Source organism: Homo sapiens, chromosome 16 (genome assembly GCF_000001405.40).
Source record: "Homo sapiens chromosome 16, GRCh38.p14 Primary Assembly".
In the NCBI taxonomy this organism is placed as follows: Eukaryota; Metazoa; Chordata; class Mammalia; order Primates; family Hominidae; genus Homo; species Homo sapiens.
This window is the reverse complement of record NC_000016.10, coordinates 19343939-19362960: the sequence shown is the minus strand read 5'-3', so window position 1 is coordinate 19362960 and position 19022 is coordinate 19343939. Positions and strand designations below refer to the sequence as shown.

Sequence of the window (19022 nt, the reverse complement as noted above, 5' to 3'; positions counted from 1 at the left end):
GCTCAAGTAATCCTCCTGCCTCAGCCTCCAGAGTAGCTGGGACTTCAGGTGCGGGCCACCACACCTGCCTATGGGTGTATTTTATATGCTAATGAGATGATTGGTGACTGGGGGCCCCTACATCTCTTCAGATGAGGCAGGTCACTGGAAAGACCAAGGCAGGATTAGAGGATTGGAACTTCTGGCTCTACCTCCAACATCCCAGGGGCTCGAGATTGACTTCAGTCACCAATGGTCAATGATTTAACAAATCACGCCTATGAAATGAAACCTCCTAAACCACAGGGCTTGGAGAGCTTCTGGATTCATGAATACATCAAAATGCTGGGAGGGTGGTGCACCCAGAGAGGGCATGGAAGGTCTACATCAGCCAACACCCCCATACTTTGCCCTAGGCATCTCTTCTATTTTGCTGTTTCTGAGCTTTATCCTTTACAATAAACCAGTAATAGTACACAAAGAGCATTCCTGGCTGCGTATGGTGGCTCGTGCCTGTAATCCCAACACTTGGGGAGGCTGAGGAGGATTGCTTGAGGCCAGGAGTTCAAGACCAGCCTGGGCAACATAGTGAGACCCTGTCTCTACAAATAATAAAAAAATTCGCTGGGCATGGTGGTTTATGCCTGTAATCCCAGCATTTTGGGAGGCCTAGGTGGGCAGATCACAACGTCAGGAGTTCGATACCAGACTGGCCAACATGGTGAAACCCTGTCTCTACTAAAAATACAAAAATTAGCCAGGCGTGGTGGTGGGCACCTATAATCCCAGCTACTCGGGAGGCTGAGGCAGGAGAATCGCTTGAAACCAGAAGGCGGAGGTTGCAGTGAGCCGAGATCACGCCACTGCACTCTAGCCTGGGCAACAAGAGCAAAACTCCTTCTCAAAAAAAAAAAAAAATTCACTGGGCACAGTGGCACACGCCTGCAGTCCTAGCTACTTGGGAGGCTGAGGTGGGAGGATCACTTGCGTCTGGGAGGTTGAGGCTGCAGTGTGCTATGATCACACCACTGCACTCCAGTGTGGGCAAGAGTGAGACCCTGTTAAAAAAAAAAAAAAAAAAAGAGCATTCCTGAGTTCTGTGAGCTGTTCTGGCAAAACATCAAACCTGAAAGAGGAGGAGTTGTGGGAACCCTTGACTTTGTGGCCAAGTTGGACAGAAGTGTGGGTTCCCTGAGCACCCAGTACTTATGACCTGCATCTGAAGCGAGGCCATTCTTGTGGGACTAAGTCCTTAAGCCAGTGGAGTCTGATGCCAGCTCCAGGTTGTTAGTGTCAGAATTGGATTGAATTGTAGAATACCCAGTTGAGAGAGCTGGAAAAGTGGTTGTTGGTGTGGAAAAAACTCACACATTTGGCGTCAGAAATATTGTGAGTAAAAACAGTTCATAGATAACTAGGACTGAAAGACATAAGCCCAAACAACATGTTGGTCACCAAAATATACCATTGAAAGGCAGGTGGTAGCTATTACTCAGTGTCAGCCTACTGTTTCTGCAAGGAAATTAAGGTCCAATCTTGCATAGTCTTCTGTTTTTTGTTTTTTGTTTTGTTTTGTTTTTGAGATAGAGTCTCACTCTGTTGCCCAGGCTGGAGTGCAATGACACTGTCTTGGCTCACTGCAACCTCCACCTCCCAGGTTCAAGCAATTCTCCTGCCTCAGCCTCCCAAGTAGCTGGGACTACAGGCGTGTGCCACCACACCCAGCTAATTTTTATATTTTTAGTAGAGACAGGGTTTCACCATGTTGGCCAATCTGGTCTCAAACTCTTAACCTCATGATCTGCCCAGCTTGGCCTACCAAAGTGCTGGAATTACAGGCATGAGCCATCACGTCTGGCCAGTCTTCTGATTTTTTAAGACAAGTAAAAAATATGGATTTCAATGTGAATGTTTTGATTTTTAGATATGAGCAGTTATATCAGTCAGGGTTAACAACTGCTAACAAAATCCTTTCTGACTTAAGCAGAAAAATAATTTACCAGGTAGCTCAAAAAATTGACCACAAGGTGGAAAGCTGGACTGAAGAAGTAGGCAAGAGGCAGGTTATGATGGCTTATATCTGTAATCCCAGCACTTTGGGAGGCCAAGGAGGGAGGATTGCTTGAAGCCAGGAGCTCGAGACCAGCCTGGGCAACATAGTGAAAACTCATCTCTAACTAAAAAAAAAAAGCTGGATGTGGTGGCACACACTTTTAAGTCCCAGCTCCTTGGGAGGCTGAGGTGGAAGGATAACTTGAGCATGGGAAGTTGAGGCTGCAGTGAGCTATGATCATGCCACTGTACTCCAGCCTGGGTGACAGAGTGAGACTCTTTCTCAACAACAACAACAAAACAAAACAACACACAAAAAAACAAATAGGCAAGAACCGGGAGGGGCCCAGCATCTGGGGACATAGCAGGTGGTAAATAGCTAACATTGGCCATATTGCCCAGGACACTGAACAATGACCTTCTAGACCACTGATATCACTGCCTTTGCTTTCTCCCAACTTCCCCCTGTGTTCAAAATACTGGGTGTGTGCTTCTGTTGGCAGCACCTGGGTTGTGTGTCCCAGTACCCTGGCTTCCAGGGGACAAGGAGAGGGAGTATCTGTCCCTGTTGACTTCTGAAATGGGGAGAAGAACCTGTTTCAGGATTCTCTCAACACATGAAGTTTAGATGCTGGGAGGTTAAAAAAAAAAGTCAAGCACAGTGACCATATTAGGAATGCACTCAGCTGCAAAATAGTAAGAACTGTTTAAGGCCAGGCACTGTGGCTGATGCCTGTAATCCCAGCACTTTAGGAGGCCAAGGTGGGTGGATCACTTGAGGTCAGGAGTTCCAGACCAGCCTGGCCAAACTGGCAAAACCTCATCTCTACTAACAAATACAAAAATTAGCCAGCATGTTGGCACCTGCCTGTCATCCCAGCTACTCGGGAGGCTGAGGCATGAGAATCGATTGAATCCAGGAGCACGAGGTTGCAGTGAGCTGAGATTGTGTCACTGCACTCCAGCCTGGGCGATAGAGTGAGACTCTGTCTCAAATAAAAGAGAACAGCTTAAAACACAAGGACACAAGAAAGTAGAGATGGGCAGTCACAGAGGTAGTCCAGTATTTCCACAATGTCATCAAGGACCAGGCACTTCCTCTCTGCACACTCATCCTTCACATATTGGCTTTTTCGGCTCTTAGTCTTGTTGCCTCATGGTCATCAGATGGCTACCACAGCTCCAGCATCACATCTGTATTCCACTTGTGAAGAGGAGGATGGGGTGGCACCCCTAAGCACCCCTCACAGGACTTTCCATTTTATCAGGGTAAATAAAAGCCCAGCATACCTTGTCTTATAGCTCATGAGCCAAACCTAGATCGCATGACCACATTTAGCTTCAAGGTAAGATAGGACAGTGAGTATCTGCCTTTATTCTCTTTTTCTTTAAAAAACTTTTCTCATTTTAATTATTTTTGGTAACTTTATTTTGAAATATAAGTTCAAATTACAACAACATTGCAAGAATAGCATTAAAAACTTCTATATATCTGTCATCACATTCTCCAATTAACATTTTGCTACATTTGCCTTATAGTTCTATTTTTCATATTATTTTTCTGTTTATTTAAAAATAAGTTGTAAACAGAATGCTCTGTACTTCTGCACGTGTCAGAGTTTATTTGCCATGTACAAGTTCATTCTTATATATAACCACAGTGCAATGGTCAAAATCCAGAAATTACATATTATTACAAGTATCTGTAATATTTTATTTTTTTATCTATATTTTATTTTTTTCAGACCCTATAGTCGTGCACAAGGGAGAAGAGGATAGGGAATAGCCATTGAGATAGCCAACCACAAAAGATTTTTTTTAAATTTTTACTTTTATTTTTTAGAGATGGGGTCGCATTCTGTTGCCCAGGCTGGGGTGCAGTGGCACGTTCATAGTTCTCTGCCTCCTCAAACTCCTGGGTTCAAACCATCCTCCTGCCTCGGCCTCCCAAGTAGCTGGGACTACATGCGCATGCCACCATGCCTGGCTAATTTTTAAAAATTATTTTTTTAGACAGGGTCTTCCTATGTTGCCCAGGCTGTGCAATTTTTTTTTTTTTTTTTTTTTGAGGCAGAGTCTCGCTCTGTTGCCCAGGCTGGAGTGCAGAGGCGCGATCTCAGCTCATTGTAACCTCCACCTCCCAGGTTCAAGCGATTCTCCTGCCTCAGCCTCCTGAGTAGCTGGGACTACAGGCATGTGTCACCTGTAGCCATGCCTGGCTACTTTTTGTATTTTTAGTAGAGACAAGGTTTCACCATGTTGGCCAGGCTGGTCTCAAGCTCCTGACCTCAAGTGATCTGCTCGCCTAGGCCTCCCAAAGTGCTAGGATTACAGGCGTGAGCCACTGCACCCTGGCTGTGCAACTGATTTTTTAAAAAATCCCACCAGAGGCCGGGCGCGATGGCTCACGCCTGTAATCCCAGCACTTTGGGAGGCCGAGGCGGGCGGATCACGAGGTCAGGAAATCGAGACCATCCCGGCTAACATGGTGAAACCCCGTCTCTGCTAAAAATACAAAAAATTAGCCGGGCGCTGTGGCGGGTGGCTGTAGTCCCAGCTTCTCGGAAGGCTGAGGCAGGAGAATGGCGTGAACCCGGGAGGCGGAGCTTGCAGTGAACCAAGATCCCGCCACTGCACTCCAGCCTGGGCGACAGAGCGAGACTCCGTCTGAAAAAAAAAAAAAAAAAGTCCCACCAGATGGAGCAAACAACTGTGTCTACGGACCAGATTCTGCCTGAAAGCTATTAATTTGCCTTACCTGCTTTATACATTTTGCTGGACTCTCTTTTTTTGGATTAGAGTACTTAGAATATTTGTGTGGTATACATTTCTACTTTTCATGTTAATGTCATTTAGACTCCAAATAGCGTTGAAAAGACTGCCAGTTAACAGGTATGCATGGGTATAGAGTGCTATTCTATCCAAATATTCACTAAATAGATTTACAAAATGAACAGGATTTTTTCTTCTTCAGTTCTCTTTTAATGTCAATTTCCTGAAAACCTTCCCTAAATGATTTAATTATGTTGCTATAATTCTCACAATTTATAATAAAATCAGAGGATAAAAGAGGAATATTGAGAGTTCTTCCTCATCTCCTAGCAAAATTAAATTCAAGTCTCTGGGAAGATAGAAAACAGTATTCATGGAGTAATATCTTCATATTATCCTTCTTAATGAAATGGAGGATAGGAAATGTTTTTTAAAAAGTGAGTACAAGCCGGGCGAGGTGGCTCATGCCTGTAATCCCAGCACTTTGGGAGGCTGAGGCGGGTGGATCACGAGGTCAAGAGATCGAGACCATCCTGGCCAACATGGTGAAACCCTGTCTCTACTAAAAAATACAAAAAATTAGCTGGGCGTGGTGGTGTGTGCCTGTAATCCCAGCTACTCCGGAGGCTGATGCAGGACAATCGCTTGAAACCGGGATGCAGAGGTTGCAGTGAGCTGAGATCCTGCCACTGCACTTCAGCCTGGGCAACAAGAGCAAAACCCCGTCTCAAAAAAAAAAAAAAAAAAAGAAGTGAGTACAATGGAGGCCTGGCCTCTGGTCTTTTGGGGGAGTGTGGGGTGGTTTTGTATATAACTAGCTAATAGGTGAGTCAGGGTAGGTGGGCAGTTATGAAGGACGAGAGGACCAGGTGTGGTGGCTCACACCTGTAATCCCAGTGCTTTGGGAGGCCAGGTGAAAGGATGACTGAAGGCCAGGAGTTTGAAACCAGCCTGGGCAGCATAGTGAGAACCCCAACTCTATTAAAAAAAAATCATAAAGGACAGCCCCTGTCCTTCCCATTCCATTATTTCCACTTTCTGAGGCTGTTCTTATTTGTGACAACACAAGGGAATATTGTATAGGTTAATCTCTTAATAAGTCAGTCTGAGTAATGGCATCTGGAATACCGATGGTTAAAAAAGGGAAAATATGTATAACTTAGAGGTTAAACAGTATGGGATTGGGGCTCAGACAGCCCTGAGGTCTATCCTGGCTCTGCCACTCACTAGCTGTGTAACCATAGACAAGTTACTTAACCTCTGTGTGCCTCAGTCCTCCTTTATAACATGAGAATAGCAGTAAAGTCTACCGCGTTAGGTTGTAGTGAAAATTAGATAAGACTATTTACATACAGTGCCTAGCACAGATTCTGGTGCATACATAGTGGCTGCTATGTTTCTGGGTGACCTTAGGGACGTCATTTAATCTCTTGGGACTTCTTGGGGTTGTTCATGTGGAGAAAATAATACAAAGGATGGGAAATTGCCTTGAAAAAAATAGAACTGTATTTATTAATAGAAGTTGTTTCTTTTTTAACCATTCAATAATATATTAATAAATAGCTGAAGGGTTTTTGCTGGTTGAGTTGAAAGCCCCAGAGGGGCTGGAGGCCACCCCAAGGCAGTACACATGAGTGCAGACAGAAGCTAAGATCTCATTCATAATCAGCTTGGAGTCCTGCAGTGGCTTGATTCTTGGAAATTGTGTGTGGGATAGCATGGCAGATACCATTGCTTACCTGGTAGTCATTTTCTCTTTTTTACTCATCAGCCAAATTCTGGTTTCCTTCAGACATTCAGTGGCCATGAGCTCTGAGGAGCCCTAGCCCTCTCCCCAGGTCCATGAGATGGGAGAGTGGATCTTGAATATTTCAAACCAATCATGGTAAGTCCTCTTTTTTCTGCCAGTGATTGGTTCAGAAACAGGCATGTGACACCATTCTGGCCAATGCAGGAAAGCCTGAGAGGTGGGGCTCTGGGAACATTTTTCTCATTTTATGAATGAACCCAAGGAGGAAACATGTGTTCCTTTCTTGCTCTGGCTTTGGAAGTTACTTTGTGAAGATGTGATGTTCATAGCTGTGGCAGTCATCTTGCAACCATTAGGAACAACGCTATGTTTGGCAATATGAAAAGCTCAAAAGAACTTAAGCCTTTGATGATATCATTGACCCATTGTGACCCTCCCCAACTCTTCCACCCTCAGGCATTTTGCTATGTAATTATTTTGTATACGGACCCTGTATTCTGCAACCTTGTTAAATTCATTTATAAGTTCTAGTGGTTGTTTTGTAGATTCCTAAACCTTTTCTATGTAAGAATCAGGTTGACTGGGTGCGGTGGCTCACGCCTGTAATCCCAGCACTTTGGGAGGCCGAGGCAGGCACATCACCTGAGGTCAGGAGTTCGAGACCAGCCTAGCTAACATGGTGAAGCCCCGTCTCTACTAAAAATACAAAAATTAGCCAGGCATGGTGGGAGGTGCCTGTAATCCCAGCTACTCAGGAGGCTGAGGCAGGAGAATCGCTTGAACCTGGGAGGTGGAGGTTGCAGTGAGTCGAGGTCACGCCATTGCACTCCAGCCTGTGGGACAAGAGCGAGACTTCATCTCAAAAAAAAAAACAAACAAAAAACAAAAAAACAAACAACAACAACAAAGAATTAGGTCACCTGCAAATAGAGACAGCTTTTCTTCTTCCTTTCTGATCTTTATGCTTTTTATTTATTTTTTCTTGCCTTATTGTAAGGGCTAGAACTACCAGTACAATGTTGAATAGAAGTGGTGAGAATATGCATTCTTGCCTTATTCATGATTTCATCTTGAGGTATTAGATTATGCATTTATCATTGCTTAAGTTAGTTGAATTGGGTTTTCTGCAAGCTTCAATGCTTCCAGCTAAAAGCACTCCATCAGACACCATCACTGAAGGAAAGATTGATCTTAGAAGACTTAGTTATATCTAGGTTGGTGTTATCAGGGTTACAGTTAAAATAGTTAACATCTTAGGCCAGGTGCAGTGGCTCATGCCTGTAATCCTAACACTTTGGGAGGCTAAAGCAGGAGGACTGCTTGAGACCAGGAGTTCACGACCAGCCTAGAAAACATAGTGAGACCTTGTCTCTAAAAAAAGAAAAAAGAAAAAAAAAATAGCCAGGCATGGCTGTGTGTGCTTGTAGTCCCAGCTACTCAGGAGGCTGAGGTGAGAGGATCGCTTGAGGCCAGGAGTTTGAGGTTACAGTGAGCTATAATTGTGCCACTGCACTCCAGCCTGGGGAACAGAGCAAGACCTCGCTAAAAAACAAACAAACAAACAAAAACTAACATCTTGAATTACTTCTATCTGCACATCTCTTAGGTTCTACTTGAATCATAGTTTCTTTGCTCCTGGGAGACCCCTGCTATTCCCAGTGATGCTGCGAACTGGGGTTCAAAGTGGGGTGGCCTGGTGAGGCCTAAAATCCATGTCCCGTGGAGAACTGCCTGCATCCCTTACAGAACCTGCCACATATTTCTGCAGCTTCCAAGAGGAAGGCTGGAATTTACTGAGCTTACTGAAGCCAATTATCCCAAGAGTATGTGATCCAGAAGCAAGATAAAGATCAAAAGGACTCAGCTGGGATTTGGCCTTCTCCAAGTGGAAGGAATAAAATCTGCAATTGGCTCTGAAAATAAAAACCAAACAAAATCTCAGGCAATCATAGACATGGCTCTTTGCTATTTATGAGCTTTTCTTTCTTTCTTTTTTTTTTTAATTTAAACAAATGTTAAAAGATTTTTGTGTGGACCTCAGATTCCAGCTTTACACTGAAACTCAACATTAGTGTCGAAGCACTTGCAGGCCATATGTGCTCCAGCGAGGGTTTGGGAATGTTGGGTGGTGTTGGTGGGCACCCATAATTGCCACTTGCTATCACGTGAATGCCTTAGGCATGACGGATTGCCAGTGCCCCTCTGAGCAGTCACTTGGAAGCTTTGCCAAAATATAAATATGTAACATGAACAGAGGGTGCGTGACTTTTTAACTGCAGTAGCCACCTTTCAGACACCTGAGGCTTTGGTGTCCTCAGTTCCAAAAGCCACACAGCAGCTCTTAACCTGGAGAGAGGAAGGCACCTGGGGAAAAGTCACGTTCTTCCAAAGCCTTCACATCAATCTTTCATGGATATTGAGTTTTTAAATGTTGGTGATTGTCGTGTCTTTTGCAGCCTGACATTTGGGAGGAAGGGTGTCGAACTTTATTATTTAAAATTTTTTTTTTAAATTTTAATTTAATTTAATTTAATTATGGCAAGAACACTTAACATAAGATCTGGCCTCTTCACAAAATGTTAAGTGTACAATACATTATTGCTGACTATTAAATTTTTTATTATATATATATATATATATATATTTTTTTTTTTTTTTTTTTTTTTTTTTTTTTGTGAGACAGAGTCTCTGTCACCCAGGCTGGAGTGCAGTTGTGGAATCATAGCTCACTGTAGGCTTGACCTCCTGGGCTCAAGCAATCCTCCACCTCAGCCTCTTGAGTAGCTGGGACTATAGGTGCACGCCACCATGCCTGGCTAATTTTTTTTTTCCATTTTTAATAGAGAAAAGGTCTCTATAAAAGAGGGACTTTTGGCCTGGCGTGCTGGTTCACACCTGTAATCCCAGCACTTTAGGAGGCCGAGGCGGGCTGATCACAAGGTCAAGACATCGAGACCATCCTGGCCAACATGGTGAAACCCTGTCTCTACTAAAAATACAAAAATTGGCTGGGCATGGTGGCGCGTGCCTATAGTCCCAGCTGCTTGGGAAACTGAGGTGGGAGGGTCACTTGAACCCAGGAGGTGGAGGTTGCAGTGAGCTGAGATCGCACCACTGCACTCCAGCCTGGCAACAGAACAAGACTCCGTCTCAAAAAAAAAAAAAAAAAAAGAGAGAGATTTTTGCCCAGGCTGGTTGCCCAGGCTGGTCTCAAACTCCTGGGCTCAAGGAATCCTCCTGCCTTGGCCTCCCAAAGTGCTGGGATTACAGCATGAGCCACTGTGCCCAGGCTATGGTTAACTCTATAAATTATTATTTGTCGTGAACCACAGAGAAATCATTTAAAAAATGGATCCAAGGGGTTTCTAAAGGGCTGCTCCCGCGGCTGCCAACACAGGTCTTCCGTGGTGCTGGGATGGAGGCTGTAAATGGTCTTGCCCTTCACGACTGGCCCTGGATCTGAACAGAGCTGAGCTCTCACTGGCTGAGTCTTCTTACGGTTCTACTGTTGCACATTCACAATCCTGCAGGCTGTAGAAAATGCTCTCATAACAGAGGAAACAGTTCCGATCTAGTGAATATCACTATGTGATATTTTATTGAATAAAATAATAATAGTAAACTCCTGGATCACTCGGCATCTGTCCAAAATAGTCCAGACCTCTAGGATGAACAAGTGAATGAGTAAATTTTTTTTACTTGTGGTAAAATGTACAGAACATAAAATTTAACATTTTATACTAAAGTATTACACTAAAGTGACCACTAAGTGGTATATCTATGCTGAACATATACTCTATACAAAAGGCCACTAAATGCTACATTTTATTTTTATTTATTTATTTATTTTTGAGACAGAGTCTTGCTCTGTGGCCCAGGCTGGAGTGCAGTGGCGTGATCCCAGGTCACTGAACCTCTGCCTCCTGGGTTCAAGAGATTCTTATGCCTCAGCCACCCAGATAGCTGGGATTACAGGTGTGTGCCACCACACTTAGCTAATTTTTGTATTTTTAGTAGAGACAGGGTTTTGCCGTGATGGTCAGGCTGGTCTTGAACTCCTGGCTTCAAGTGATCCACCTGCCTCAGCCTCCCAAAGTGTTGGAATTACAGGCTTGAGCCCGGCCACATTTTTCAATGGTTAATTTTATGTTTTGCGGATTTTGCCTTAATAAAAAGAAGAAGGACCTTAAATATTCACAATTTTAACCATTTGAGAGTGTACAATTAAGTGGTACTAAGTCCACTCACAATGTTGTGCAAACATCACCTCTATCTTGTTCCAGATTATTTTCCTCACCCCATATGGAAATCCTGTACCCACTAAGCAGTTCCTGCCATTTCCCTCCTGCCTCCAATATCTGGGAATCACAAATCTGCTTTCTATCTCTATGGATTTTCTTACTCTAGATATTTTTTATAAATGGAATCACACAATATGTAGCCTTTTGAGTCTGCCTTCTTTCAGTCAGCGTAATGTTTTCAAGGTTCATCCATGTTGTAGCATGTATCAGTACTTCATTCCTTTTTAATAAGAAGGAATCTTATTATTATTATTATTATTTCTGAGACGGAGCCTTGCTCTGTCGCCCAGGCTGGAGTGCAGTGGTGCGATCTCGGCTCACAGCAACCCCTGCCTCCTGGGTTCAAGCCATTCTCCTGCCTCAGCCTCCCAAGTAGCTGGGACTACAGGCGTGTGCCACCACACCCAGCTAATTTTTGTATTTTTAGTAGAGATGGGGCTTCACCACGTTGGTCAGGCTGGTCTTGAACTGCTGACTTCAAGTGATCTGCTCGCCTTGACCTCCCAAAGTGCTGGCATTACAGGCGTGAGCCACCGCGCCCGGCCAAGAAGGAATATTATTGCATAATGATATTAACGCATATTGCAAGGCATAGGTATCTCTCATTTTGATTATCCATTCATCAGTTTATGGATATTTGGGTTGTTTTCACCTTCTGGCTATGAACATTTGTGGATAAGTTTTTGTTTAAATCCATGTTTTCAATTTTTTTGGCATATATGGTAATTCTGTGCTTAACTTATTGAGGAACTGCCACACGGTGACAGTCCCACAGTGCCTGCATAATTTTGCATTCCTACCAGCAGCATATGGGGGCTCCAATTTCCACACCCTTGTCAATACTTGTTCTTGTCCTTTAAAAAAATTATAGCCATCCTAGTGGGTGAGTAAAAGACTTTCTGTTGGCTGGGCTCAGTGGCTCATGCCTATAATCCCAACAGTTTGGGTGGCTGAGGCAGGCAGATTGCTTGAGTTCAGGAGTTCAAGACCAGCCTGGGCAACATGGTGAAAACCTGTCTCTACTAAAAATACAAAAAATTAGCCAGGTGTGGTGGTGCGTGCCTGTAGTCCCAGCTACTTGGGAGGCTGAGGTGGGAGGATTGCTTGAGCCCAGGAAGTTGAGGCTGCAGTGAGCTGTGATAGCACCATTGCACTCCAGCCTGAGCAACTGGAGTGAGACCCTGTCTCACAAAAACAAAAAACCTCAACTTTCTGTCTAAACTCTGTCTCCCCTGCCTTTCTCCCAATTTCTCAAAGAACTAATATAATTTTGCACAATAATTTTTTAAGCTATCTATGGTTTAGTCTATCAATTGTGATTCTTTTGGTTGCAAGTAACAGGAAACCAACTCAAACCAGGTCAAACAATAAAAGCCAGCTTCAGAGACACTTCTGGTGTGGTTTGATCAAGATTCCAGCTCTGTTTCACTGCAGTTCTTCTGGCACTGCCTTCTCCGTAAGTTGGATTCATCCACAAACTGGCTTTCTCCAGGGCTTTAAGGTAGCTATCAACAACAAACAAGGTTACAAGCTTCTTTATTCATATCTGAGGAGGGCGAGTCACTGCCCTTAATTGATGAATACAAATCCTAACTCCGTTGATTGGACCAGTCTTAAACCAATTCTCCTAATCGTGGATCACTGAGCTGATTCGCTTAGGCTAGGCCTGGGTTACTTGAACCAGTCAAGGGCAAGTCTGATGGAAATACCCTGATAAGCTTGGACCCATCAAGTCCCACCCTTGGATTTGAGATTTAGGTCAATTCCATCCACCACAGCTTTTAGACAATGAGGGAAAAGGAAAAAGGAAATCGATGTCCGCTCTATTGCTATTTGCTTTGTTAGAGGATTTGGTGAAAAGAAGTCCATTTGGTAGAATCTTTTTTCTTTTCTTTTCTTTCTTTCTTTTTTTTTTTCGAGATGGAGTCTCGCTCTGTTGCCTAGGCTGGAGTGCAGTGGCACGAATTCGGCTCACTGCAACCTCCACCTCCCAGGTTCAAGCAATTCTCCTGCCTCAGCCTCCTGAGTAGCTGGGACTACATATGCGTGCCACCACACCTGGCTAATTTTTTGTATTTTAAGTTGAGACGGAGTTTCACCGTGTTAGCCAGGATGGTCTCCATCTCCTGACCTTGTGATCCATCCGCCTCGGCCTCCCAAAGTGCTGGGATTACAGGCGTGAGCCACCACGCCTGGCCCATTTGGTAGAATCTTAATGTCCATCTGCTAGAGTTATGGTCAAATTGAAGTGGACTGGCGGCCTTTCTGTTATAATGATTCTAAATAGCATTATTAATACTTAGTGTCTTAAACCTTTATATATCTTAAAACTTATTTGTGGGTATTATCAGTATTCCCACTTTACCGATGAGGTTTGTAAGGTTGACAAATCTGAAAGATTCTATCACCTTGAACCAAGACGGGATATATGTGTGTTCTTTCTAGGCATATTCTGACAGCTCAGCAGAGTCGGCTAAGATGTGTGGGCACCTGGACAGGCTAATGTTGAGGTATCCTATTGAGTCTGGCGGTCAGGGTTAAAAACCTGGCCCCATCACCTACCAGGTGGTGACCTTGAGCAAGTTACTAGCACTTTGTGCCTCAGTACTTTGGCAATAACAAATAGTACCTACCTTGTAGAATTGTTAATGAAGATTACATCATTCATATACATGGTAAGAGCCCTGTTAATCTTTGTAAAAAAAAAGTCTTTGTAAAAAATAATGACACTTTTCTCTATCTGGTTACATTTCCAGGGATGTTTTAGCACCATCCTTGAGGTTTGGCACCTGCTGTTCCATCCCTTAATCCAGTTCAGGCTGCAACCTGGACCTTCTCCAACCCCCAGCCACTTTGCTAATCAATATCTTATCGCATCGCATCTCAGTCTGGGCTCTCCCAGACCAGGCAGGGAGCCCCTAGGTCCTGCCAGCCTGCTGCCACCGTCTGCATGGCTCTTAGCTGGGGAGACAGAAACCAAATCCTTCCCAAAGATGCTGGGAAATTAGTTTAGCACCGTCTGCCGGTGTGCGGTGACTCAGAGGCAGCCAGCCCAGCGGGGCTTATGGGCTCCAGGGTTTGAACAAGATTGATGTTGTCGTGAATGCAAAGCAGGCTGAGAGAGCCAGGGGGGCTGGTAGGCAGGGCAGGCAAGAGCCCTCTGTTTACTCCTAGCTCCCCTTCTAGGTGAGCTGAGGTTTTGGGCAGCAGGGCCAGCTCAGCTGCTTACTATGATGTTAGGGAAGCCAGAGGACTCTGAGGAGGGGCAGTGGGGTGCCCAGATTTTAAGGGTTCATGTGATTAAGTCAGCAGCTGGCTCTGGGGTCATTAGGGGAGAGGGACAATGGCCAAGAGTGTAAGAGTCTGAATATGCAGATGGTTGGGGCTCTGGATTGGTTAGTTTGTGTATGAAGGCATGCTCACAGGCTCGCTATTTACTGTACCTAGGAATTGGCTAGCCCTGGGAGGGGTAGGGTCAGCCAGGCCCCGGATATCAAAGCGTCAGCAGTACAGAAAGTAAAAAGGCATGATTAACTCAACCAGCACTTCTCAAAACTGTCACAGCCATAAAAAACAAGGAAAAACTGAGAAACAGTCACAGACTGATAGAGATTTAAGAAGATATGACGACTATATATAATCTGTGACCCTGGATGGGATTCTGGAACAGGAAAAAATACATTAATGGAAAAACTGGTAAAATCCAAATAAAGTCTATAACTTTGTTAATAGCATTGTACTAATATTAATGTCTTAGTTTTGATAATCATACTGTGGTTAAGTAAGATAGTGACTTTAGGGGAAGCTGGGTGAAGAGGATACAGAAATTCTCTGTACTAATTTTGCAACTCTTCTATAGCCTAAAATTATTTCAAAATTAAAAACTAAATAGCCCAGGTGCGGTGGCTCACGCCTGTAATCTCAGCACCGTGGGAGGCTGAGGTGGGCGGATCTCCTGAGGCCAGGAGTTCGAGACCAACCTGGCCAACATGGCAAAACCCTGTCTCTACAAAAATTAGCCGGGTGTGATGGCACACGCCTGTAGTCCCAGCTACTTGGGAGGCTGAGCCAGGAGAATCGCTTGAACCCAGGAGTCAGAGTGCAGTGAGCAGAGAATGTGCCATAGCACTCCAGCCTGGGCAACAGAGCAAGACCTTGTCTCAGACAAACAAGCAAACAAACAAGCAAACAAAAAAATTAAGAACGAAAAAAACCAGGGACCTTCGTTTATTTACTGTGTATTTTTGCTTGAACTATGCTAGGCATTTTATATGCCAATGAGGTAGGAGGCAGGACTTGACTCCAGACGAGGGGCTCAGACACTGGACCAAATTGAGGACTAGCTAAAATAGGGCCAGGGTGGAAGATGCTTTCTAAAGCAGCTATGAAACAAATCACTACAAACTTAGCAGCTTAAGACATCACCCTGAAATAAGTGAGTCACAAAAAGACAAACGCCGTATGATTCCATTTATGTGAGTTATCTAAAATAGTCAAATTCGTAGAAACAGAAAGTGGGGTTATCAGGGGCTTGGGGGAGGGGGGAATAGGGAGTTGTTTAATGGGTATAGGGTTTCACCTTTGCAAGATCAAACAGTTTTGAAGATCTGTATTGCATAACAATAGAATGCACTTAACACCACTAAAATGTACACTTGAAAATGGTTAAGATGGTATGCTTAATGTTATATGTTTTCACTAAAATTAAAAAAAATACAAATTCTGTAGCCAAAATGTCCTGGACATTTAGTTGATCCTTTTAAGTTCAAATGTGAATGATTTGTCATGTATAATTATTTCTGTTGAATGTAAACAGTACCTTTTAGAGATGAATATTGGGTGGCCTTATTTGTTTCAATATCTTTGGCCCTAAATTACCAGGCACCAAAATTGTTACTCATTTTTTTTTCCAAATTGTACTTAGAGATACTGTGATAAACATGCACTACAATATAAACTTAAGAATGGTACCAAAGATAGCACAAAATCATTACCTATAAACTAAACAATTTCCACAAAACCACACACATTTATTCTCTCACCATTCTGTAGGTCAGAGAAATGTGGGCAAGCCTGGCTGGGTTCACTGCTTAGGGTCTCACAAAGCTAAAATAAAAACGCCTGAGTCTTAATCTCCACACGTATACCCATTTTACAGGTGGGGATCCTGAGGCTCAAAGTAGTAAAGTGGCTCATTTATCAAACTGGTTGCCTGTGCAGGACGAGCAATAGGAGGTCTCCATTGTTAAATCTTTTAAAAATAAACATTAGAGTGTATGCCTTCTGTTTTCTGCTGGGACCCTGATGGAGATGTCAGGCAATCCAACCACAGAGTCTGAACACTCAGCCACTACTTTACGTTGCCTCAACCCAGAGAGGAAGCCTTAGAATACTCCTTGAAGAGGGAAGTGAGAGAGCCTCTAGTCTAACCTGATTTTACAAATGGGAACACTTTAGGAGGCTCAGAGTGGGGAAATGTTGCCTCTGACTGTAACAGATGCTGTCCTGGAAAGCAGCCTCAAGCAATGACAGATGGGAGCTGGTGGATAAATACCCCAACTCCCTCACCCCTTAAACAAGTTCTAAAAATCTCCCAGAATTCCCTGGCTGATTGGGTCCCAAATACCCTAAGCAGTGACCTGCTCATTAATGCACCCCGAATTGGTTCCTTCTCTTCACCATCTCCTGCTGGTGCTTTCTGAAATCACCTCCCAAATACATTATTTTCACCAAATCCTTGTCTCAGGGGACTCCAAGGAAGGTAGTGACCATCTGTGATTTCCTTCTGTCCAACATCTCCACTTTGTTTGCAGAGGCTGCCTTCCCACGCTTATCATCCTACGGCTTGAGTGGGTTAGATCCCATTCCCAGGTTCCAGGGGTAGGCAAGTCTCCTATATTATCCAAACAGAGTACCCCATCTTCCTGGCTACAGTGACTGGTTCAAGAATGGGCACGTCACTCAAACCAGGCTGACAGAAATCAAGTTTAGGATTATTGGTGGAAAGAGAACTCATCCTTCCATGATTACTTAACTCCATGAAGATGTACAGTCAGGATGTCAGCAGACCTCTTCTACCTCCCAGGAAAGGCTTGTCTGGGAATGAAACCAGCACAGGGGATCATGGGGCTAGGAGATGGAGAGAAACTGCTCCCTGATACCATGCCCGAGTCCCTGTTTTAATAGGTCTTATTATTAATTAGGTGTGGCAAGGCCAACCTGGAGATGACTGCCATTGATACATTAGCTTTGTTACACTCACAAGATCCCAAAAGGAGTACATGTCACCACCCAGAAGGCCGCCTGGGGAAGCACCAGAGTCAGGCAGGAGGCAGAAAGGGAAGGGAGCTGTGGGCAAGAGCCTTTATTGTGGTTTCTGCAGGAAAGAGTAGATGAGAGAGGGTAGTGAGTGGGCTTAGGATTGGCTAGTTTCAAATATTTCAGTCCAGGCACGGTGGCTTACGCCTGTAATCCCAGCACTTCAAAAGGCTGAGGTGGGTGAATTGCCTGAGCTGAGGAGTTCAACACCAGCCTGGACAACATGGCGAAACTCCATTTCTACAAAAAAATACAAGAATTAGCTGGGCGTGGTGGTGTGCGCCTATAGTCCCAGCTAAGGTGAGAGGATGGCTTGAGCCCAGGAGGTGGAGGTTGCAGTGAGCTGAGATCATGCCACTGCACTCTAGCCTGGGTGACAGAGTCAGATCCTATTAAAAGAAAAAAGAGAAAGAAGGAAAGAAAGGAAGGAAGGAAGGAAGGAGAAATATTTCAGTGGACTCTGGCCTGGGGTATAGGGGATGTTTCTGGCTGCCTGGCACCTGGCGCTGGGTGATTAGGGCAGTCTGTAATGGCCCAGGGCATGAGAACTTAATAAGGGAGGTGCTTGGGGTCAGACCTTGGAATGGTTGGTTTGTTTTGAAAAGTACACTCCAGGACGAGGACTTCTCCCAGAAGAAGCGGGTTGGGGAGGTGACAAGGAAGGCTGAGGCAAGTCCTGACTCAGGACTCAGGCCTCTCATCAGGTTGTCTAGAAAAAGCAGTGTCCAGCATATGGATGCCGGGAAGATGTTAAAGCTTCAAGTTTACAGAAGCTAGAAACATGGTTCATCCAAGTCCCTGGATCCAACCGTACCTTGATTTTGGACGTTGTCAGTTACGTGAGCCAATAAATTATTTCTCTTTTGCTAAATCCAATTGAAATATTGTCACTTGCAAACAAAAAGAATCCTACAGCTAATTAAAGGCAGATTTTGGAGTAAGAAACCTGATGTCTTAATATCTAGGTCAGCGTTGCTTCCACTGCACCTCTGAAAGTACTCAGCTCTGCCCCAAACCTGGAGAGTGCCGCATTTCTCCAGACTGCAAGAAACAGTGTGGATGACTCAGTGGAGATCATAATGGCATCTGAGTGATCAACGACAGCCTCCAGTTGCCACTTGGTGAGAGAACAAAGGAACCGGGGCATGCTCAGCTATGGCTGCAAGCCCTTCAAGTGAAGCTGGGCACTTACCCCCTTCATTCCATTCTCCTCAGGATAACAGATTAAAATTCCAGAAGTGTGCACCTGTTGTGTATTCAGGAGATTGTCGTTGTGCATAAAGAGACCACTTGAGGCCCTGTAAGCAAAGACTAATGGGGCTGAGTCAAAATCTGGGAATCTGATGAACTAACACACTCAAATGAAACTGATTTGTGGGCAAGTACGAATAGAATAAATGCCCTGGCGTTGTGACGACATTGCAGTTAGTGCTTTCTTATCCTTCAAGGTCTGCTGCCAAAACAAAGCTTTTCCAGAGGGTATTTTTATGAGACTGCAAGTTCTCGAATGCAGGTGAAAGAGGGAGACATCCTTACGTTGTCTTAGCACAGGTTTTGACCACTAAAAACAAGACTCATGATAATAATGGATTTAGCGAGATAAGAGTTTGTTTCTCTCTCACGTGAGTTTTCCAGCCAGTGTGGCAACTCATTCCGTGAAGTCATCAGGCGTGCAGGCTTCTCTCACCTTGGTGCTCTGCCATCCCCAAGATGCTGCCCCCATCTGCAAGCACCAAGACGGCACCCCACTGTGTCCACATTCTAGGCATCAGGATTGGGGAAAAGAGGAAGGGAGAGTATGCCTCTCTTAAGGGCACAGTACAGAAGTTGCTCACATCTCATTGGTCAAA

The 19022-nt window shown here is 44.4% G+C and overlaps 1 long non-coding RNA gene across 1 annotated transcript in view; it reads left to right on the top strand.

The window, feature by feature from the left end:
- The window catches only part of LOC105371114 (uncharacterized), a 39276-nt gene extending 30772 nt beyond the window's left edge, over nucleotides 1–8504 (top strand). The window contains exon 3 of the long non-coding RNA NR_188657.1: nucleotides 8160–8504. This is a non-coding gene — a long non-coding RNA (uncharacterized LOC105371114). The remainder of the gene's footprint in view (nucleotides 1–8159) is intronic.
- The last annotated feature ends 10518 nt before the right edge of the window (nucleotides 8505–19022 follow it).